This window comes from Homo sapiens, chromosome 16, assembly GCF_000001405.40.
Source record: "Homo sapiens chromosome 16, GRCh38.p14 Primary Assembly".
Lineage (NCBI taxonomy): Eukaryota > Metazoa > Chordata > Mammalia > Primates > Hominidae > Homo > Homo sapiens.
The window spans coordinates 60,523,460-60,548,596 of NC_000016.10; the positions used below are offsets into that span (position 1 = coordinate 60,523,460).

General features: G+C 38.1%; 1 long non-coding RNA gene across 4 annotated transcripts in view, besides 1 other annotated feature; it reads left to right on the forward strand.

Annotated features, from left to right (window-relative positions):
• The window catches only part of LOC101927605 (uncharacterized), a 187,474-nt gene extending 163,678 nt beyond the window's left edge, over positions 1–23,796 (forward strand). For all 4 annotated transcript variants that reach the window (XR_001752229.1, XR_001752231.1, XR_001752230.1 and 1 more), the window contains one exon: positions 23,633–23,796. This is a non-coding gene — a long non-coding RNA (uncharacterized LOC101927605). The remainder of the gene's footprint in view (positions 1–23,632) is intronic.
• Positions 15,027–15,233: a silencer, noted in NCBI's record as "fragment chr16:60572390-60572596 (GRCh37/hg19 assembly coordinates)". NCBI's record gives its function as "represses an EF-1alpha promoter that drives an FKBP-Casp9 reporter gene in an ReSE screen in K562 erythroleukemia cells {active_cell/tissue: K562}" and the evidence as "EXISTENCE:reporter gene assay evidence [ECO:0000049][PMID:32094911]".
• Positions 23,797–25,137: the final 1,341 nt, after the last annotated feature.

The following is a 25,137-nucleotide window of genomic DNA, read 5'->3' on the forward strand; positions in this document are numbered from 1 at the left end:
GACCCCCGACCCCCGAGCAGCCTAACTGGAAGGCACCCCCCAGCAGGGGCACACTGACATCTCACACGGCAGGGTATTCCAACAGACCTGCAGCTGGGGGTTCTGTCTGTTAGAAGGAAAACTAACAAACAGAAAGGACATCCACACCAAAAACCCATCTGTACATCACCATCATCAAAGACCAAAAGTAGATAAAACCACAAAGATGGGGAAAAAACAGAACAGAAAAACGGGAAACTCTAAAACGCAGAGCGCCTCTCCTCCTCCAAAGGAACGCAGTTCCTCACCAGCAACGGAACAAAGCTGGGTGGAGAATGACTTTGACGAGCTGAGAGAAGAAGGCTTCAGACGATCAAATTACTCTGAGCTATGGGAGGACATTCAAACCAAAGGCAAAGAAGTTGAAAACTTTGAAAAAAATTTAGAAGAATGTATAACTAGAATAACCAATACAGAGAAGTGCTTAAAGGAGCTGATGGAGTTGAAAACCAAGGCTCGAGAACTACGTAAAGAATGCAGAAGCCTCAGGAGCCAATGCAATCAACTGGAAGAAAGGGTATCAGCGATGGAAGATGAAATGAATGAAATGAAGCGGGAAGGGAAGTTTAGAGACAAAAGAATAAAAAGAAATGAGCAAAGCCTCCAAGAAATATGGGACTATGTGAAAAGACCAAATCTACGTCTGATTGGTGTACCTGAAAGTGATGGGGAGAATGGAACCAAGTTGGAAAACACTCTGCAGGATATTATCCAGGAGAACTTCCCCAATCTAGCAAGGCAGGCCAACGTTCAAATTCAGGAAATACAGAGAACGCCACAAAGATACTCCTCGAGAAGAGCAACTCCAAGACACATAATTGTCAGATTCACCAAAGTTGAAATGAAGGAAAAAATGTTAAGGGCAGCCAGAGAGAAAGGTCGGGTTACCCTCAAAGGGAAGCCCATCAGACTAACAGCGGATCTCTTGGCAGAAACCCTACAAGCCAGAAGAGAGTGGGGGCCAATATTCAACATTCTTAAAGAAAAGAATTTTCAACCCAGAATTTCATATCCAGCCAAACTAAGCTTCATAAGTGAAGGAGAAATAAAATACTTTACAGACAAGCAAATGCTGAGAGATTTTGTCACGACCAGGCCTGCCCTAAAAGAGCTCCTGAAGGAAGCGCTAAACATGGAAAGGAACAACCGATACCAGCCGCTGCAAAATCATGCCAAAATGTAAAGACCATTGAGACTAGGAAGAAACTGCATCAACTAATGAGCAAAATAACCAGCTAACATCATAATGACAGGATCAAATTCACACATAACAATATTAACTTTAAATGTAAATGGACTAAATGCTCCAATTAAAAGACACAGTCTGGCAAATTGGATAAAGAGTCAAGACCCATCAGTATGCTGTATTCAGGAAACCCATCTCACGTGCAGTGACACACATAGGCTCAAAATAAAAGGATGGAGGAAGATCCACCAAGCCAATGGAAAACAAAAAAAGGCAGGGGTTGCAATCCTAGTCTCTGATAAAACAGACTTTAAACCAACAAAGATCAAAAGAGACAAAGAAGGCCATTACACAATGGTAAAAGGATCAATTCAAGAAGAAGAGCTAACTATCCTAAATATATATGCACCCAATACAGGAGCACCCAGATTCATAAAGCAAGTCCTGAGTGACCTACAAAGAGACTTAGACTCCCACACATTAATAATGGGAGACTTTAACACCCCACTGTCAACATTAGACAGATCAATGAGACAGAAAGTCAACAAGGATACCCAGGAATTGAACTCAGCTCTGCACCAAGCAGACCTAATAGACATCTACAGAACTCTCCACCCCAAATCAACAGAATATACATTTTTTTCAGCACCACACCACACCTATTCCAAAATTGACCACATACTTGGAAGTAAAGCTCTCCTCAGCAAATGTAAAAGAACAGAGATTATAACAAACTATCTTTCAGACCACAGTGCAATCAAACTAGAACTCAGAATTAAGAATCTCACTCAAAACCACTCAACTACATGGAAACTGAACAACCTGCTCCTGAATGACTACTGGATACATAACGAAATGAAGGCAGAAATAAAGATGTTCTTTGAAACCAACAAGAACAAAGACACAACATACCAGAATCTCTGGGATGCATTCAAAGCAGTCTGTAGAGGGAAATTTATAGCACTAAATGCCCACAAGAGAAAGCAGGAAAGATCCAAAATTGACACCCTAACATCACAATTAAAAGAACTAGAAAAGCAAGAGCAAACACATTCAAAAGCTAGCAGAAGGCAAGAAATAACTAAAATCAGAGCAGAACTGAAGGAAATAGAGACACAAAAAACCCATCAAAAAATTAATGAATCCAGGAGCTGGTTTTTTGAAAGGATCAACAAAATTGATAGACTGCTAGCAAGACTAATAAAGAAAAAAATAGACACAATAAAAAATGATAAAGGGGATATCACCACCGATCCCACAGAAATACAAACTACCATCAGAGAATACTACAAACACCTGTACGGAAATAAACTAGAAAATCTAGAAGAAATGGATAAATTCCTCGACACATACACTCTCCCAAGACTAAACCAGGAAGAAGTTGAATCTCTGAATAGACCAATAACAGGAGCTGAAATTGTGGCAATAATCAATAGTTTACCAACCAAAAAGAGTCCAGGACCAGATGGATTCACAGCCGAATTCTACCAGAGGTACAAGGAGGAACTGGTACGATTCCTTCTGAAACTATTCCAATCAATAGAAAAAGAGGGAATCCTCCCTAACTCATTTTATGAGGCTAGCATCATTCTGATACCAAAGCCGGGCAGAGACACAACCAAAAAAGAGAATTTTAGACCAATATCCTTGATGAACATTGATGCAAAAATCCTCAATAAAATACTGGCAAAATGAATCCAGCAGCACATCAAAAAGCTTATCCACCATGATCAAGTGGGCTTCATCCCTGGGATGCAAGGCTGGTTCAATATATGAAAATCAATAAATGTAATCCAGCATATAAACAGAGCCAAAGACAAAAACCACATGATTATCTCAATAGATGCAGAAAAGGCCTTTGACAAAATTCAACAACCCTTCATGCTAAAAACTCTCAATAAATTAGGTATTGATGGGACGTATTTCAAAATAATAAGAGCTATCTATGACAAACCCACAGCCAATATCATACTGAATGGGCAAAAACTGGAAGCATTCCCTTTGAAAACTGGCACAAGACAGGGATGCCCTCTCTCACCACTCCTATTCAACATAGTGTTGGAAGTTCTGGCCAGGGCAATTAGGCAGGAGAAGAAAATAAAGGGTATTCAATTAGGAAAAGAGGAAGTCAAATTGTCCCTGTTTACAGACGATATGATTGTATATCTAGAAAACCCCATTGTCTCAGCCCAAAATCTCCTTAAGCTGATAAGCAACTTCAGCAAAGTCTCAGGATACAAAATCAATGTACAAAAATCACAAGCATTCTTATACACCAACAACAGACAAACAGAGAGCCAAATCATGAGTGAACTCCCATTCACAATTGCTACAAAGAGAATAAAATACCTAGGAATCCAACTTACAAGGGATGTGAAGGACCTCTTCAAGGAGAACTACAAACCACTGCTCAAGGAAATAAAAGAGGATACAAACAAATGGAAGAACATTCCATGCTCATGGGTAGGAAGAATCAATATCGTGAAAATGGCCATACTGCCCAAGGTAATTTACAGATTCAATGCCATCCCCATAAAGCTACCAATGACTTTCTTCACAGAATTGGAAAAAACTACTTTAAAGTTCATATGGAACCAAAAAAGAGCCCGCACCACCAAGTCAATCCTAAGCCAAAAGAACAAAGCTGGAGGCATCACGCTACCTGACTTCAAACTATACTACAAGGCTACAGTAACCAAAACAGCATGATACTGGTACCAAAACAGAGATATAGATCAATGGAACAGAACAGAGCCCTCAGAAATAACAGCGCATATCTACAACTATCTGATCTTTGACAAACCTGAGAAAAACAAGCAATGGGGAAAGGATTCCCTATTTAATAAATGATGCTGGGAAAACTGGCTAGCCATATGTAGAAAGCTGAAACTGGATCCCTTCCTTACACCTTATACAAAAATCAATTCAAGATGGATTAAAGACTTAAACGTTAGACCTAAAACCATAAAAACCCTAGAAGAAAACCTAGGCATTACCATTCAGGACATAGGCATGGGCAAGGACTTCATGTCCAAAACACCAAAAGCAATGGCAACAAAAGCCAAAATTGACAAATGGGATCTAATTAAACTAAAGAGCTTCTGCACAGCAAAAGAAACTACCATCAGAGTGAACAGGCAACCTACAAAATGGGAGAAAATTTTCACAACCTACTCATCTGACAAAGGGCTAATATCCAGAATCTACAATGAACTCAAACAAATTTACAAGAAAAAAACAACCCCATCAAAAAGTGGGCGAAGGACATGAACAGACACTTCTCAAAAGAAGACATTTATGCAGCCAAAAAACACATGAAAAAATGCTCATCATCACTGGCCATCAGAGAAATGCAAATCAAAACCACAATGAGATACCATCTCACACCAGTTAGAATGGCAATCATTAAAAAGTCAGGAAACAACAGGTGCTGGAGAGGATGTGGAGAAATAGGAACACTTTTACACTGTTGGTGGGACTGTAAACTAGTTCAACCATTGTGGAAGTCAGTGTGGCGACTCCTCAGGGATCTAGAACTAGAAATACCATTTGACCCAGCCATCCCATTACTGGGTATATACCCAAAGGGCTATAAATCATGCTGCTATAAAGACACATGCACACGTATGTTTATTGTGGCATTATTCACAATAGCAAAGACTTGGAACCAACCCAAATGTCCAACAATGATAGACTGGATTAAGAAAATGTGGCACATATACACCATGGAATACTATGCAGCCATAAAAAATGATGAGTTCATGTCCTTTGTAGGGACATGGATGAAATTGGAAATCATCATTGTCAGTAAACTATCGCAAGAACAAAAAACCAAACACCGCATATTCTCACTCATAGGTGGGAATTGAGCAATGAGATCACATGGACACAGGAAGGGGAATATCACACTCTGGGGACTGTGGTGGGGTGGGGGGAGGGAGGAGGGATAGCATTGGGAGATATACCTAATGCTAGATGACGAGTTAGTGGGTGCAGCGCACCAGCATGGCACATGTATACATATGTAACTAACCTGCACAATGTGCACATGTACCCTAAAACTTAAAGTATAATAAAAATAAATAAATAAATAAATAAATAAATAATAAGAACTGGCAACAACTAATTCTATAACCAGCAGAACCGTCATCAAAAATAATGAGGGAAAAATAAATTCTCAAATGCAGAAAACAAAAAAGTATTTGTTGCTAGCAGACCTACCCTTAAAAAATGGATAAAATAATTTTTTTTCAAATAATAAAAGAGCGTGTCTTGGAGCCTCAGGAAGGAAGAATCAATAATGGCAGAAGGAGACATGTGAGTGATATGGTTTGTATTGGTATTCCTTCCAAACTCTCAGGTCAAATTGGAGGAGAAACCTGGTGGGAGGTGGTTGGATCACGGGGTGAACTTCCCCCATGCTGTTCTCATGAAAATGAGTGGGTTCCCATGAGATCTGATAGTTTAAAAGTGTGTGGCACTCCCCCCTTCTGTCTGTCTGTCTCTCTCTCACACGCGTGCGCTTTCACTCGCACTCTTGCTCTTGCTCTCGCTCTCTCTCCTGACACCATTGTGAAGAAGGTAGTTGCTTCTCCTTCGCCTTCTGCCATGATGGTAAGTTTCCTGAGCCCTCCCAGTCATGCTTCCTATTAAGCCTGCGGAACTTTGAGTCAATTAAACCTCTTTTCTTCATAAATAATCCAGCCTCAGGTAGCTCTTTATAGCAGTGTGAAAACAGACTAATACACTGAGTAAGAACAATAGTTTTCTAAATAATGTATGATGGTCAAAGTCAAAATTATAAAACCATTTGATATTCAAGATAATAATATATAAAAGTGGGAATGGTAAAAGGACCTAAATATAAACAAGGTTTCCACTCTTTATTTGAAGTAGTAAAATGTTGATCCCAATAAACTGTGATAAGATACATATGTATATTTCAATAGATACAGTTGTTACTAAGAATATAATTCAAAGTGATATTCTTAAAAAACATTGAAGTAAATCAAAATGGAATCTTACTGAATTACACAAAGTGTTTGAATAATTCACAAGAAGGTAAGAAAAGAAAAACAGAGGAATAGGGAACAGTGGACATAAACATTTTTTTAAAAAGGTATATTTATTGCATCTCAATAAGTAATTTCAATGCAAATGGTCTAAATACACTAATTAGAAGACAATGATTAATAGAGTTTATTTTTATACAGTGACCCAACTATACGCTGCATGACAGATGTGGAATTGCAATGGAAAGTATTTATCAAACTTTTAACCAGGTGAAATTAAAACTTCAATGTGTATTTTTCTCCTGTTACAACAGTTGAGACCTCTGGTCTGTTTTCAGTCTTCTGTTTTCTGAGAGTCTTGTTGGAGCCTACATATGTGTGAACAGTTCAGAGTTGGCCAAAGGTTTGTGGAAGGTTTATATGCAGACTTAAAGCCGCCACCTTCTTTAGTTACCTCCTCAGTTTCTAGACACTCTGATAACCTACATTCTTTCTTTGACGCCTCAATCTAAAATTATTGTTATTGCTATTCCTTCCTGAGTTTTTGTGGCCCCATATAATGCAAATCTGAAGAAATACCAGGGAAAATACTTTTGAAACACAGATCTTATCCAGTGATATACCTATTATCAGAGTCACATTCTTTCCAATTTTTCTCTACTCTTGACTCCAATTCGTGAACAGTTTATAATTGTTATATACAGGAAGATTATTCTTATGCAAGCTATTTCACCACTATTACTGGAACTGGGACTTCACCTGGGCACTTTAGAAGTTAACAATGTTTCCTAAAGAAGGTCATCGTATTAATCGTGCTTGTTTTCCCCTTGCATTTTCTGATGCTTTGACATCTTACTGTCCTTGCTGACATTGGAGGAATTGCCCTTCCCTGGAATAGCTAATTCCTAGAGATAAGAAACAACTACCCTGGGAGCACACCTTTCAAATGAACACCAAACAATCCCAAGCCCACACCCCTAACCACCTCCTCTATGGAGCTATCATTCTTTGGGCCATTATTCTCCTTTTTTAATCATCCCAAGGCCAGGTATCAGACAAATAGAGACAACCTCTATACCTCAGAGCCTGCAGATATTATTCATACTTACAAACCTAAATTGGCTGGTCCTGCCTCACTTGTTTCTTCCCATGAAAACCACAATAAAGGCTCTTGTCCATGTTTTCCTCTCATTTCCTCTGCCTCCTGACTAACTTTGGTGCTTCCCTGTGTGATCTTGTGTGGCATGTCTTGCCTCCTGTTTCTAGGGATATTTAGGTATAAAAACTTATTTTATGACAGTCATTTTCATGTCTGCATGTCTTACCATACCTAATTGAAACAAATCTCAAGTACCCTTAAAACAACCATTCAGTAGGGTTTGAGAATTTCCTGAAGTAGTTCTATCTTACATAAGTTTGAGAAACAGATGAACTAAGCCATAAGAAGGAAGTAATGTCTAAGTTAAACCTTGAAGGGCGAGTAGGAGTTAGTTTCATTTAAAAGCCCAGAGAGAAATAACAACAAGTATGAAAAGAAATAGGGTGAGAAAACACAAAGATCTGCAACATTGCTGGAAGATAGTTGTCAAAATTGGGAGCCAGAGAAGAAGGCTCAGATTATGGTACATGTGGTGATGGCCTCATACATATTACTCAGGAGGTTGGGCTTTAACTGGCTTTAAATTGAGAAATGACATGATTAGGATGCATCTAGATCTTTTGCGTTCTTGTCTTTTGTGTTTTTAGTATACAAGTTGCCACCCCACCAGAATCATCAACTAATATTGTTCTTTTTGCCATCCTAAACTTGAAGGAAAGTGGAGTTGTTGCACATGGCTATGATCACAGCATAATCAGTTTTCAAATTGTCAAATGGCACCGCACGAAACATCTTGTTGGATTTTTTTAAAGACTGCATGAAGAGAATTAAAAATGAGCTAAAGAAAATTGACTGAAATCAACTGTAGTTTAGGAAATTCACTATGTTGAAATATGTGCTTTTAAATAACATGTAGGGGGTAAACAATCTATAATCAGTCAAGTAGAATCTGGTTGTCGATATGTAAAAGCAAAGCCAGGATAATCATGGTAAAGACATGTCTGATGGTTAATTTGGAAAGGACAAATGCCTATGACATTGACATTATTGCAGAGAAAACAGAAAAATATTTGGAAGACGAAAGGAAAAAATGAACATTTTGTATTTGTAGTGCAAAGCACGTTGACTGTGGCAGAAACTGGTTTTTGTTTTGTTTTGTTTTGTTTTGTGGGGAGCATGTCACGAAAATATATGCAAAGATTAAACTGCAACAGGTTGGGTCAGTGCAATGCTACATAAACAGTATGAGAGTTTTTGAATTAAACTGGCTCATGCAACAAAATTATGTAATATCATAGAAACAAAATCTGAGTGTATAAGCTCATAGTACTGCAAGGATCCCTGAAACCCATTAATACAAAATCCTGTGTTATTATTCCTCCTCATTGTTCTTTTTACTTATAAAAGCTAATTTCTTTAATTCTTGCCTTTGAGTCTGTTTATTTTCTTAGAATTTGCTATGGGTAATATTAATCTACTAATGAAATCAAAGTTTCCTCCAGGGCAGTAACATTTTCTGTTTTAGATATCAGCATATGCTCAGTGCTTAGTGTAGATTAGGTTTTTCTATATACATATGATATTTGTACAGATGGATGAATGAGCAAATGAAGGAATTTTTACTGAACATTTAAATAAAGAAATCATAATAAACTATTACTTATTTACCATTTACTATGCTTGGGACTTTTTGATTATTGATTATTGTTACATACATTATAATATATAATATTAAATTCACAAACATCTTTTATTTTTTTTTTGAGACGGAGTATCGCTATGTCGCCCAGACTGGAGTGCAGTGGTGTATTCTCGGCTCACTTAACCTCCACCTCCGGGTTCAAGCGATTCTCCTGCCTCAGCCTCTTGAGTACCTGGTATTACAGGTGCAGGCCAACATGCCCAGCTATTTTTTTCGTATTTTTAGTAGAGATAGGGTTTCACTGTGTTAGCCAGGATGGTCTCGATCTCCTGACCTCGTGATCCACCCACCTCAGCCTCCCAAAGTGCTGGGATTACAGGCATGAGCCACCACGCCCAGCATTAAATTCACAAACATCTTAAGACCAATGTTATTCGCATCAATTTTAAATAGAAAATGGATGTCCTGAGTGGGGTAAGCTACTGCCCAAATTGACAGACAACAGCAGATTTGGAATTTAAGCTCATCTAGTCATCTTCCCTAACCAAAATTACCAGTGACAGGTACAATCAGTGGGGAAAGAGACAATTTAAAATGTGGACAGAAAAGGTGTAAATTAACTGTGTGCACTTAGATACACTATTTTACCTCTCTCAATTCAATATCCTCAATATTCAAATGAAGAGAGTCATGATAATTGCCTTAGGGAATTATAAAACTAAATGAGTAGTTCTTGTAAAATTCCTAACACAATGGGTACTAACAAGTAATAATGATAACAATAATCAAATTAATATGTTGTGACTTAGGAATTCACAATTTTTATTCATGCATCTGATTTTCAATAAAAAAGATGAAATTAATATTTATATATATATATTATACTTAAAGTTCTGGGATATATGTACAGAATGTGCAGGTTTGTTACATAGGTATACATGTTCCATGGTGTTTTGCTGCACCCATCAACCCGTCATCTACATTAGGTATTTCTCCTAATGTTATCCCTTCCTTAGCCCCAACCCCATGACAGTGTGTGATGTGTGTGATGTTCCCCTCCCTGTGCCCATATGTTCTCATTGTTCAACTCCCACTTGTGAGTGAGAACATGTGGTGTTTGGTTCTCTGTTCCTGTGTTAGTTTGCTGAGAATGATGGTTTCCAGCTTCATCTATGTCCCTGCAAAGAACATGAACTCATTCTTTTTTATGGCTGCATAGTATTCCATGGTGTACATGTGCCACATTTCCTTTATTCAGTCTAACATTGATTGGCATTTGAGTTGGCCCTTAGCCTTTGCTATTGTGAATAGTGTGCAATAAACATACATGTGTATGTGTCTTTATAGTAGAATGATTTATAATCCTTAAGGTATATATCCAGTAATGGGATTGCTGGGTCAAATGGTATTTCTAGTTCTAGATCCTTGAGGAATTGCCACACTGTCTTCCACAATGATTGAACTAATTTATACTCCCAGCAACAGTGTAAAAGCTTTCCTATTTCTCCACATCCTCTCCAGCATCCATTGTTTGCTGGCTTTTTAATAATTGCCATTCTAACGGGCATGAGATGATATTTCACTGTGGTTTTGATTTGTATTTCTCTAATGACCAGTGATGATGAGCTTTTTTTCATGTTTGTTGGCTGCATAAATGTCTTCTTTTGAAAAGTGTCTGCTCATACCCTTCACCCATTTTTTGATGGGGTTGTTTTTTTTTCTTGTAAATTACCTTAATTACCTTGTAGATTCTGGATATTAGACCTTTGTCAGATGGATAGATTACAAAAATGCTCTCCCGTTCTGTAGGTTGCCTGTACACTCTGATGATAGTTTCTTTTGCTGTGCAGAAGCTCTTTAGTTTAATTAGATCCCATTTGTCAATTTTGGCTTTTGTTGCCATTGCTTTTGGTGTTTTAGTCATGAAGTCTTTGTCCATGACTATGTCCTGAATGGTATTACCTAGGTTTTCTTCTAGGGTTTTTATGGTTTTAGGTTTTACATTTAAATCTTTAATCCATCTTGAGTTAATTTCTGTATAAGATGTAAGGAAAGCATCCGGTTTCAGTTTTCTGCATATGGCTAGCCAGTTTTCCCAGCACCATTTATTGAATAGGGAATCCTTTCCCCATTGCTTGTTTTTCTCAGGTTTGTCAAAGATCAGATGGTTGTAGATGTGTGGTGTTATTTCTGAGGCCTCTGTTCTTTTCCATTGGTCTATATATCTGTTTTGGTACAATACCATGCTGTTTTGGTTACTGTAGCCTTGTAGTATAGTTTGAAGTCAGGTAGTGTGATGCCTCAAGCTTTGTTCTTTTTGCTTAGGATTTTCTTGGCTATATGGGCTCCTTTTTGGTTCCATATGAAATTTAAAGTAGTTTTTTCTAATTCTGTGAAGAATGTCAATGGTAGCTTGATGGGAATAGCATTGAATCCATAAATTACTTTGGGTAATATGGCCATTTTCACGATATTGATTCTTCCTATTCATGAGCATGGAATTGTTTTCCATTTGTTTGTATCCTCTTTTATTTCCTTGAGCAGTGGTTTGTAGGTCTCCTTGAAGAGGTCCTTCATGTCCCTTGTAAGTTGGATTCCTAGGTATTTTATTCTCTTTGTAGCAATTGTGAATGGGAGTTTGCTCATGATTTGACTCTCTGTGTGTCTATTATTGGTGTACAGGAATGCTTGTGATTTTTGCACATTGATTTTTTATTCTGAGACTTTGCTAACGTTGCTTATCAGCTTCAGGAGTTTTGGGGCTGAGACAATGGAGTTTTCTATATATACAATCATGTCACCTGCAAAGAGAGATAATATGACTTCCTCTCTTCCTGTTTGAATGTGCTTTCTTTCTTTCTCTTGCCTGATTGCCCTGGTCAGAAATTTCAATACTATGTTGAATAGGAGTGGTAAGAGAGGGCATTCCTTGTCTTGTGCTGGTTTTCAAAGGGAATGCTTCCAGCTTTTGCCCATTCAGTATGATATTGGCTGTGGGTTTGTCATAAATAGTTTTTATTATTTTGAGATATGGTCAGTTAATACCTAGTTTATTGAGTGTTTTTAGCATGAAGCGATGTTCAGTTTTATTGAAGGCCTTTTCTGCATCTATTGAGATAATCATGTGGTTTTTGTCGTTGGTTCTGTTTATGGGATGGATTACGTTTATTGATTTGCATTTTTTTGAACTAGCCTTGCATCCCAGGGATGAAGCCAATTTGATTGTGGTGGATAAGCTTTTTAATGTGCTGCTCAATTCACTTTGCCAGTATTTTATTGAGGATTTTAGAAGTTCATCAGGGATATTGGCCTGAAATTTTCTTTTTTTGTTGTGTCTCTGCCAGGTTTTGATATCAAGATGATGCTGGCCTCATAAAATGCGTTAGGGAGGAGTCCCTCTTTTTCTATTGTTTGGTATAGTTTCAGAAGGAATGGTGCCTGCTCTTGTTTGTATGTCTGGTAAAATTCGGCTGTGAATCCATCTGGTCTTGGACTTTTTTTGGTTGGTAGGCTATTAATTACTGCCTCAATATCAGAACTTGTTATTGGCCTATTAAGGGTTTCGACTTCTTCCTGATTAGTCTTGGGAGTGTGTATGTGTCCAGGAATTTATCCATTTCTTCTAGATTTTCTAGTTTATTTGGGTAGAGGTGTTTACAGTATTCTCTGATGGTAGTTTGTATTTGGGATCAGTGGTGATCTTCTCTTTATCATTTTTTATTGTGTCCATTTGATTCTTCTCTCTTTTTTTCTTTATTAATCTGTCTAGCAGTCTATCTATTTTGTTAATCTTTTCAAAAAGCCAGTTCCTGGATTCATTGATTTTTGAAGGTTTTTTTGTGTCTCTATCTCCTTTTGTTCTGCTCTGATCTTAGTTATTTCTTGTCTTCTGCTAGCTTTTGGATTTGTTTGCTCTTGGTTCTCTATTTGTTTTAATTGTGATGTTAGGGTGCCAATTTTAGATCTTTCCTGCTTTGTCTGTGGGCAGTTAGTGCTATATATTTCCCTCTAAACACTGCTTTAGCTGTGTCCCAAAGATTTTGGTATGTTGTCTCTTTTTTCTCATTGGTTTCAAAGAACTTATTTATTTCTGCGTTAATTTTGTTATTTACCCAGTAGTCATTCAGGAGGAGGTTGTTCAGGTTCCATGTAGTTGTGCGGTTTTGAGTGAGTTTCTTAATCTTGCATTCTAATTTGATTGCACTGTGGTCTGAAAGACTGTTATGATTTTCTTTCTTTTGCATTTGCTGAGAAGTGTTTTATTTCCAATTATGTAGCCAATTTTAGAATGAGTGCTATGCAGTGCAAAGAAGAATGTATATTCTGTCGATTTAGGGTGGAGAGTTCTGTTAGGTCTGCTTGGTCCAGAGCTGAGTTCAAGTTCTTGTTAAGATCCTTGTTAATTTTCTGTCTCATTGATCTGTCTAATATTGACAGGGGTGTTAAAGTCTCCCACTATTATTGTGTGAGAGTCAAAGTCTCTTTGTAGGTCTCTAAGAACTTGCTTTATGAATCTGGGTGCTCCATTATTGGGTGCATATATATTTAGGTTAGCTCTTCTTGTTACATTGATCCCTTTACCATTATCTAATGCCCTTCTTTGATTTTCATGATCTTTGTTGGTAAAGTCTATTTTATCAGAGACTAGGATTGCAATCCCTGCTTTTTTTTTCTTTTATTTGCTTGATAAACCTTCCTCCATCTCTTCATTTTGAGCCTACATGTGTTTTTGCATGTGAGGTGGGTCTCCTGAATACAGCACACTGATGGATCTTGACTCTATCTAATTTGCTAGTCTGTATCTTTTAATTGGGGCATTTTGCCCATTTACATTTGAGGTTAATATTGTTATGTGTGAATTTGATCCTGTGATTACGATGCTAGCTGGTTATTTTGCCCATTAGTTGATGCAGTTTCTTCATAGTGTCGATGGTCTTTACATTTTTGTATGTTTTTGCAGTGATGGGTACAGTCTTTTCCTTTCCATATTTAGTGCTTCCTTCAGGAGCTCTTGTAAGGCAGGCCTGGTGGTGACAAAATCCCTCAGCATTTGCTTGTCTGTAAAGGATTTTATTTCTCCTTCACTTATGAAGCTTAGTTTGGCTGGATATGAAATTCTGGGTTGAAAACTCTTTTCTTTAAGAATGTTGAATATTGGCCCCCACTCTTTTCTGGCTTGTAGGGTTTCTGCCGAGAGATCTGCTGTTAGTCTGATGGGCTTCCCTTTGAGGGTAACCTGACCTTTCTCTATGGCTGCCCTTAACATTTTTTCCTTCATTTCAACCTTGGTGCATCTGATGACTGTGTGTCTTGGGGTTGCTCTTCTCGAGGAGTATCTTTGTAGTGTTGTCTGTATTTCCTGAATTTGAATGTTGACCTGTCTTGCTAGATTGGGGTAGTTCTCCTGGATAATATTCTGAAGTGTGTTTTCCAACTTGGTTCCATTCTCCCTGTCCCCTTCAGGAACACCAGTCAGACATAAGTTTGGTCTCTTCACATAGTCTCATATCTTTTGGAGGCTTTATTCATTCCTTTTCATTCTTTTCCCTCTTTTCTTGTCTTCATGCTTTATTTTATTAAGTTGATCTTCAATCTCTGACATGCTTTTTTCCACTTAATAGAGCTGGCAATTGATATTTGTGTATGTTTCACAAAGTTCTCATGCTCTGTTTTTCAGCTCCATCAGGTCATTTATGTTCTCTCCAAACTGGTTATTCTAGTTAGCAGTTCCTATAACCTTTTATCAAGGTTCTTAGCTTCCTTGCATTAGATTAGAACATGCTCCTTTAGCTTGGAGGAGTTTGTGATTACCCACTCTCTGAAGCCTACTTCTGTCAACTCGTCAAACTCATTCTCTGTCCGGTTTTTCCCCTTGCTGGTGATGAGTTGTGACCCTTTGGAGGAGAAGAGGCCTTCTGGTTTTTGGTATTTTCTGCCTTTTTATGCTGGTTTTTCCTCACTTTCATGGATTTATCTACCTTTGGTCTTTGCTGTTGATGAGTTTTTCCTTCAGATGGAGTTTTTGCATGGTCATCCTTTTTCTTGATGTTGATGCTATTGCTTTCTGTTTGTTAGTTTTCCTTAGAACAGTCAGGCACTTCTGCAGGTCTCCTGAAGTTTGCTGGGGGTCCATTCCAGACCCTGTTTGCCTGGGTATCACCAGCAGAGGCTGCAGAACAGCAAAAATTGCTGCCTGTTCCTCCCTCTGGAAGCTTCATCCCAGACGGGCACAAAAGGCAAGGCAGAACTCTCCTGTATGAGGTGTCTGTTGACCCCTACTGGGAGGTGTCTCCCAGTCAGGAGGCACAGGGGTCAGGGACCTACTTGAGGAGGCAGTCAGTCCCTTAGCAGAGCTCGAGTGAGCGCTGTTCTGGGAGATCTGCTGCTTTCTTCAGAGCTGGCAGGCCAGAACATTTAAGTCTACTGAAGCTGTGCCCACAGCAACCCCTCCCCAGGTGCTCTGTCCCAGGGAGATGGGAGTTTTATCTATAATCCCCTGACTGGGGCTGCTGCCTTTCTTTCAGAGATGACCTGCCCAGAGAGGGGGAATCTAGAGAGACAGTCTGGCTACAGTGGCTTTGGCAAGCTGTTTGGGCCCTGCCCAGTTCAAACTTCCCAACCTCTGTTTACACTGTGAGGGGGAAAACCGCCTACTCAAGCCTCAGTAATGGTGGACTCCCCTCCCCCCACCAAGCTCAAGTGTCTCAGGTCAACTTCAGACTGCTGTGCTGGCAGTGAGAATTTCAAGCCAGTGGATCTTAGCTTGCTGGGCTCCATGTGGGTGGGATCCACTAAGCAAGACCACTTGGCTCCCTGGTTTCAGCCCCCTTTCCAGGGGAGTAAATGGTTCTATTTTGCTAGTGTTCCAAGTGCCACTGGGGTATGAAAAAACTCCTGCAGCTAGCTCAGAATCTGCCCAAAAGGCCACCCAGTTTTGTGCTTGAAACCCAGGGCCCTTGTGGTCTAGGCACTCAAGGGAATCTCCTGGTCTGTGGGTTGAAAAGACCATGGGAAAAGTGTAGTATATGGGATGGAGTGCACCATTCCTCACAGCACGGTCCCTCATGCCTTCCCTTGGCTAGGGGAGGGAATTCCTTGACCCTTTGTGCTTCCTGGGTGAGGTGACACCCCACCCTGCTTCAGCTCGCCCTCAATGGGCTGCACCCACTGTCTAACCAGTCCCAGTGAGATGAACTGGATACTTCAGTTAAAAATGCAGAAATCACCCACCTTCTGCATTGGTCTCGCTGGGAGCTGTAGACTGGAGCTGTTCCTATGCAGCCATCTTGCCCAGGAATCAAAGTTAATATTAATATTTCTTCTTCACATAACCATAGTCCTCAGTTGTCACCTGACAAAGGAGTAAAATTCAAAACTGTAGCTGATTAGCATGTTGGCTATGCAGGCAAGAATGGCCAAAAGAAAAATAATTCACAGAAAATCCCAACTGTAATGTTCAGTGAGGTTTGAGGACTTTCTACTTTATTGCCAAAGCTGTCAAGGATCACTTGGGTCACCCTTCTACTGATCCCTTGGTCCTTATACGTACATATTTATTTCTCAAGACTAATACTGCCCACCCAAGGAGACTTAACTGCTGTATCAAAATATTTTTTATTTAGATACCATCTGTATTTGAGAAAATCATGAGTAGAAAATTAGCCTTTCAATAGTCCTCAAAGTATCTTAGCTGCTTACAAAAAATATTGTACAAACATATCCTTAAACTAAGTGTTACATCTCAGGGTTTCATCTTTTCCCATGTATAGGCTGGCAAAAATACAACAGCTCCTCAGAAGAGTTTTAGAAATCTGATAAATTCAAAAGCAGATGGAAGGACAGAAGTCATTCCTGTGACTAAATTTCTTTAGGCACACAGATGGGATTAAATACTAAATAAATGTTAACCAACAAGTTTTTAAAATTGATGCATATAGCTAAGAAAAAATAAAAGCTAGTCATCCAAAAGTAATTACTCTCCTTGTTATTTTCAATTATGTGCCAATAAAATGTTAAGCATATGATATGGACTCTTATGGTTATTAATTTGTCGGGTGAGGATGATGGCCTTGATTAATGAGAATGATGACAAACATGGAAAAATAAATATGTGGATGGAATTTCCACTTACATCTAGAATAATTTATTAACTTTAAGATAGTTTGTTAGCAATTAGATAATTTATTAACTTTAAGATAGATTCTCATAGAATCTTTCTATGGGAAAGATTCTATGTGGGTCAGTGGAAGATGAAGTGGGAAGAAAAGGTAAAGAATGGTGTTATTGGGCTGGGTGTGGTGGCTCACACCTGTAATTCCAGTGCTTTGGGAGGCCGAGGCAAGTGGATCACTTGATGTCAGGAGTTTGAGACCAGCCTTGCCAACATGGAGAAACCCTGTCTCTACTAAAAATAATAATAATAATAATATTACAAAAATTAGCCAGGCATGGTGGTGTGTGACTGTAATCCCAGCTACTCAGGAGACTGAGGCAGGAGAATTACTTGAACCTCAGAGGTGAAGGTTGTAGTGAGCCCAGATTGCACCACTGCACTCCAGCTTAGGCAACAGAGTGAGACTCTATCTCAAAATAAAAAAGAAACAATGGTGTTATTTTTTTCAAAGGACACACAATGGTAGAGAAACAGACAAAAAATAATGCTTTTATTCAGAGGGACAATATTTCTCTACTAAATTGAACCTATATATAGCATGAGCCCTCAATAAAAGAACGTGGCTGCTCTACATCTTGTTAGCTGTACAACCATGGGCAAATTAGTTAATCCCTGTAACCCTCTGTCACTTCAGTTGCAAAGTTTGGTTACCCACTTATATAAGATATTTATGAAAAATGAGTAATGCTTATAAACCTACTTAATATGGTGTCTGGTACCTAGAATGCTCTGTCACTGTTAGCTCTGATTGTTATCTAAGGAACAGTGAATGGTCTATAACAGGTGTAGTGATAGCAGGTATGGTAGACTCTGTAAGCTTGAAAAGAAACTCGCAAGAGGCAATAATGCCCAGTTGATCTTCTAGTACTTTCATTTTAACAGACAACAATGACACAGATGTGCACATGTAGTTTTCTTTAGATTTTCTCTTATTCTTGTAGCTTCATTTTCTGAAAACTTTACTACATCATATGGAGTTTTTAATCCAAATGCTCCTATTAACATTTTATAGTGATAGAAGGAATTCCACTGTATTCTATGAAAAGTAAGAGTTACACCCGAAGAGCTGAAAGCTTTAACTGGCATTGATTCTCAGGTTGGCTCTGTTCCTATGTTTGGGCAGACATTAATTTAATCAGAGCTAGAATCTGCCTGCAGCAAAGACTCAGCAGCTTGGGAAATTGAGCCTTCTGCTCCCCTCACTTTTGAATACATCATTTGGAATTGGTGGTATTTACATGAATTTATTGCAGAGACATAGGTTGGATATTGTGTGCAAATTTATGTTTTATAAACATTCACACATTTCCATTTGAATGACATTAAGATTATTAAATGAGAGGTTTTTATACTTTATGCATTACGAGAGTATTCTATACTATGTCAGAATATATGAGGTATGTTTCGATGTGTAAACAGGGTTACTTTAAGAAATGCTACTTAACCATCTCTGAGCCTCAATTTCTTTATCTGTAAGATAGAGATAACAATTATAGAACTATTGAGCATTAAATTATATTGTTCCCATGTTCCAAGTCCAGAATCTGCCACTATGGTTCTTATTTAATAAATGATTGTTTGCATTACTATGTAGTCGAATTCATTGCTTTTTTACCTATGAGGAAACTAAATCTTAGAGGCAGAAAGTAAATTAACTGGGGAATTGGAGTTACCCAGTAGAAGAGCTGGGATTGAAACTCTAGTCTCCCAGTGCCCTCATCAATATTCTTTTTAGTGTGAGAGTAATAATAGCTGAAACTGGAGATAGTGAACTAAGCTTCCGGACAGGAACAAACCAAGCACTGAAACAGGGAGGTGCCAGAAAGAAAGAATTAAAATATAACTACAAATCTGAGTCCCACAGATAATTACTTAGAAGAGTCTACTCTCTCTGAATCACTTTATATCTATTTTATATTGGCTACTTAATATTTCTCATTTTATTCATAGAGTAGTGATGGCATGACATCCTTGTCTCTCTGCTTCTCAGTTGTAACATAGCTACTTGCAAATCAAAATTTTAAAGTTCTCAATTGAAAGATAGACTGTCAGGATAATTTATAGTTTATTTTCTTTCTGTCGTTGTAGTTGTTATTTTGACATAAAAACTTGCAGTAGGCAGAATAATAGTCCGCAGGGATAGCCATGCCCTAATCCTCAGAACCTGCAAACATGTTATGTTACATGGCAAAGGGAAATAAGGGTGTAGAAGGAATTAATGTTGCTAATCCGCTGACCTTCAAATAAAGAATTAACCTAGATTATCGGGATGGGCCCATTGTAATCATAAATGTCCTTAAAAATAAAAAGGGAGGCAAAAACTCCATGAAGACAATATTTCTTCCTGCCTTTGAAGAAATGTAACTAATTGAAGAAATCTAACTAATTCGACAGATATTTCGAATGGCGAGTGAAGGAAGTAAATCCTTTAAGCCTTAACTGTAAGAAAGAATGAAGTAAGGAGAGGGCAGATATTGCCAATTCTCTGGAAGCTGCTGCTGGAAGTGGGGATGTACACCTTCATGTATAGAGGTGTTCCCAGGAGAGCAGGAAGACCTTCATGCAGATAGCCCAGACAGGTACTTAAGGAAATTAGGTTCTAGGCACCAAGCCTCAGCAGATTTCTGTGTTTTAAGTGTGTCTCTCAATCATCTCAGCTTCTGTTTTCAACTCCAGAACAGTGACTAATTTAAGTGGTGTTTGTGTGGAGGTGAAGCACTTGAGTGTTGCCTTACACTAAGGTATTGAATAAGACTAAGGCGTCTTTGCCTATTTGTTGAGAGGTTATGTGTATATGTACGTACATTTGTATGTGCATATGCACAAAACTCACTGAAATTAAAGTTGCCAGCCTGGAGGGAAGAAACCTTAGAGTTACAGTTCAACCACTTACAATGAAATTTTTAAAATATGACTTTATTTTTGCTTACTTGACTTTGCATTTACAAATACCCTATATAGTTAAAGAATAGAATAAAATAAGATGAAGAAATGGTGCTACAGAGCTACATATCTGAGCTCCCAAGATGAATACACTACGTACACACAGTGAATACAGATAGATAAAAATAAAATTTCACCCCTCTTTTGGCAGAGTAAGTTGGAAAGAATTGAGGCAGACATATATTTCCTTTTATCTCATATCCCACCTAGATTTTTGTGAAAATTATTTCCTTCTCAATTAAGTTATATGTTATCTTCTTTCCCTCAGTTCCTGAAAACATGTTCCCCTGTGATTCCTAGTACTCAGCCATGCCCTGTTCTACCTCTATTCCGGAAATGACTCTACCCTTTCTTTTCGAATAAGTTAAAGAGGGGATGTTGGTGACTTGGGATAAGAGATTTTTTTTTAATGTATCCAGAAAGTTTTTAGTTTACAAATAAAGTACTTTTGTAATAGGTTGAAATATAATTGAGTATGAATATTAATTTTACCAATTACTGGCTGATTGGTCTTACCTTACTCTTTCAGTATTTATTTTCTCCTTATATAATCTGAAATACTTTGTTTAATAGCACCATCTGACATGCATTTTTCAAATAATCAACTTATTTACTTCTTTCTTGCCTGTCTCTGCCCACAATAGTGAAAACTATGGTGGCAGCAATTTTTCTTTTTTGTGTTTATGTATAATACTGCACTCTCCTCCTCCCACCCAGTTTTAGAAGAGTACCTACCAAGAGGAGGTACACAATTAATATTCGTTTCTTAAATTAGTAATGTCCCAACTCACACTTATATTATCAGTAAAATGCAGCTACTGAAACGTGTTTCATGAGTTAATTGTAAATACAAAAAAAAAAAAATTAGCCTGGTGTGGTGGTGGGTGCCTGTAATCCCAGCTACTCGGGAGGCTGAGGCAGGGAGAATTGCTTGAACCCAGGAGATGGAGGTTGCAGTGAGCAGAGATTGCACCACTGCACTCTAGCCCGGGAGACAGAGTAAGACTCCATCTCAAAAAAAAAAAAAAAAAAGAAAAGGAGGAAAATTAAAATGTGTAATGAATATAAAGTAATGAATATAGTGCCTTTTGTGTTCAATATTGATACATAGTAATCATAATATTGATACATAATAGTCTTAATTTTTTTTCAAATAAAATAGCCAGTGTCAGTGCTCTAATACAGGTACAAAATAGGTTAGAGTAATTTTACAGGGAAAGGGGATGGAGCATAGAGCAGAGGATTTGATTTTGGAGGAAAGGACGGCATAAGCTTATGTACACAACAGAACTGTTGGGTCTAATAGTCTTTTCTGCGAGGATCCAAATGTTCTGTGTGCTGTCCAATATGGTAGCTGGTACCCACATATGGTGATAAAGCCCTTCAAATAAGAGTAGTGCAACTAAGGAATTACATTTTTATTTTTTTTAGTTAATTAATTAACATTTAAATTTAAACAGCCCCATGTGGTTGGTGGCTACACTATGACAGAGCATGTCTTGAGCAGTGGTTCACAAAATTAAATGGGTTTAAGGAAGACTTACCTGGAAGCACTTATTACAATGCAAATTTTCAAGCTTTACCTTGGAAGTTCTTTTGTGTTAGACCTGGAGGTGAAGCCTAGGACTCAGCAGTTTGAGGAATCCATTTTGGGTTACTGAAGGAGGAGCTCCACGACCTGCACTTTGGTCCTGTCTTTGCGCCAATTCCTGGAGGTCTCTTTCTGTCATTCTGTCTTTGCTTGTGAAGTGTCTCCCTATCTTTAAATTCCATTCACTTTCAGTCTTATCTGTGGCTTTTCCCAATAGTCCAGAAATAAAATCTTATTTAGGAAGTAGAGCTGCTGCTTTTATTCCATTTGATGTTATTTTTTCAAGTGTGCTGATTTATAATTCCATTATCGTTATCATCTCTAAATTTAATCCTTCTTATACTTTCAGAAAGTCAAAACCTTATTGTAAGTAGGATGGGAAATTCTGGTGGTTGCACAATTATATCTAGGATAAATTTAGTAATGCCCATTTTGCAAATTTTTAAATATGTCCAAAGACTCTTCTGAAGAAGATTGAATTTTGGAAACCAAGGGGAAAACCAAGGGGAACTTTGCAATTCTTATGATAAAACTGATAAACAAAAAACTCAGGACCAAGAGCTTATCACTATTGTTCCCTTTCCTCCATGTGCTGAGTTTTTGGAGGTCAAAGCCAAGATGGTCATGTTCAAAAGCTGGTGATGATTAAGATTTATTGACAACCCCATATTCTGAGAAGGATTATATTTCTGAAACTTCATGGGTATAAAAGCTGTTTCTGTCCTTTCCCTGCTATAGTTGCAACAGTTGGGATACATAGGTACATCAGTTACTATGCTTTTGGCTGGAAGAAAAAAAATACCTGAAAAAGCATGAACATGGCTTAGATAATAAAGTAGCAAAGATGGTTATTCACAAATTAAGAAATCTGGAGAGAGGCTATTGCGGCATTGGTTCAATGGCTCAATAATGCCATCACTGTTCCAACTTTTTCTGCTTTTGGTTCTGTTATAGCTTGCATATTTGTTTTCCATTTTCAATCTTGTAAACTTGTGACAAGATGGTTGTCACAGATTTATACCCATCATTCCCAAAGACACAAAGGAAGAAGGTGGGATACTTCTTGGAGCTATCTCTTTATCAGGGAGGGAAATTTTTTCATATGTGAAAAAAAAGACATTTTTGCATATCTTATTGCCCAGAATTTTGATCCCTCATGGCTCTTAGCAGCAAAAAAGGCTTGGAAAGCAAGGATCCAACATTTTCAGTCTCTATGGTAGGGATTGGTCTCTGCCAGAAAGGAAGAAAGATAAAGAAAAATGTGTGTTGTTAGGCAAAAAATTTCTGCCAGAAGAGAATATGGACTTGCTATGGGTGGATTAAAATTTTATAGAAATTTAGAGGATGTTTATGAAGACATTTCCATCTTGAAATTAGTATAGAAGACTTTCTACCCAGTGGATGTCATCTGGGAAATTCTTCCCTTCCTCAGAGTGTAGAGAAAATGAAACAATCACTAGACAAGAGGAGTGAGCAATAAGACAGAAAAAGAATCCTGAACTTAAATAAAACAAGGCTCTAACATTTTGACCAGAACAGAATTTGGGGATGGAGTATAGAATAAATTCTTTATAGCTCTCAGTCTTATATTGAACTGCCATTGAATAAGATAAACAGTCTACCAGTGCGTGATGCAGAGAAACTCAGCGTTTGAATCAAAGCAGGCAATGTTATTGCTTTCCAAGGCAGTGGTTTAACTAGACTGAGAGTACTATATCTGGTATTTGTCACTGTTTCTTACATGGGGTATAATTTCTCTTGAAGGACTATTGCACTGAGTCACTTAATGATACCAAGCTTCTAAGATTTAAGATGTAAAGGAAGAATGTTAAAAGTTGTGCATTTGTTCACTGGGAGGTAAAAGGGAGTTTAAATTCTTATTTAGCCTTTGTAATTTCCATCACTGGCAAAGATGATTTCTCTCCCTCATTTTTTCTCTTTATACAGTACCAGTCCATATTCTGCTGCTACCTCCCTCGTTGACCACTTTGACTTCATTCAGCATTTTATGCGAGAGGCACAAGGAAAACAAGGAATCAGTGCTGCTCTATGAATCATTTGTCAAAGGGAGATTTAAATGCATGTTCCTTACCTGCCTAGAGGAAAATACAGTAAATGCATTTTGAGGTAGAGAGAGAAAGTTATGTGTTCTTAATAACCAGCATATTTATTATGCCCTAAATAGGAAATTGTGTATTTGCAGGTTGACAACTACAGCTGAATAGAATGATCAGCTTTGTCCACAGGCAAAATTACGAGGTGTGTAAGTGTGTGGTTCATCAATAGAATTAGTATAACAAGGCAGACCTAGATTAATTTCCTGGCTCTGCTACTTGCTAACTGTGACAACTTAAGAAAGGTACATAACCACTCTGAGCTTCAGTTTCCTCATTTGTAAACTGGGGATAATAATAGTGCCCATTAATTTATGCTACAACAATATTAAATGAGATAATGTTTCTAAATTGTTGATTTAGGACCTGATATAGAGAAAGTATTTAATACGTATTAGCTACAATCATGACGGTGATAATGCCAACAAAATCCAGGTAGGTAGGTAGTAGATATCTAAGCAGCACTTTTCAGATAAGAGGACTGAAATGTTCATGAGTGTACAAATATAATAAATAAAAGAGTAAAGGCCAGGCGCTGTGGCTCACGCCCGTAATCCCGGCACTTTGGGAGGCCGAGGTGGTCGGATCACAAGGTCAGGATATGGAGACCATCCTGGCCAACATGGTGAAACCCCGTCTCTACTAAAAACACAAAAATTAGCCGGGCGCGGTGATGCGTACCTGTAGTCCCAGCCTACTCAGGAGGCTGAGGCAGGAGAATCACTTGAACCCAGGAGGCGGAGGTTGCAGTGAGCCGAGATCACGCCACTGCACTCCAGCCTGGGTGACAGCACGAGACTCCATCAAAAAAATAAAAAAAATAAAAAAATAAAAGGGTAAATACATTAAAAATGAATTGTTAGATGTATAATTATTGAAAACTTGGTTTGAAAGGACAAAAAGCCTACAAGATCAGTCTTTACACAGCAGGGCTAAATTCTTCCCTGCGTTTTGGCAGAATTCATTGTCCCCCCATAAGTAATGCTATACTAGTCATATATTAATCATTTAGCATTAGCGGTTAAGAGAATACACTATTGCCTCACGAATCCAGGTGGTCCGTACCAATCTCAACATTAAGTAGGTTTTTGACCTTGGCTGTTTAAATTCTGTGAGTAAGATTTTCTTTTGTAAACCAGGAACAGTTACAATAGCTATTCCATAGCATTGCTTTTGAGGATTACATAAACATTTTGTGAAAAGCACCTTAGAACAGTGCATCACATACAGTAAATATTCAATGAAATTTATGTATTATTACAGGAGGAAAGAAAGAAAATTCTATCAATTATAGGAGGAGAGGCAGACTGGACCCCAACATATTGTAGCTTGGAATGG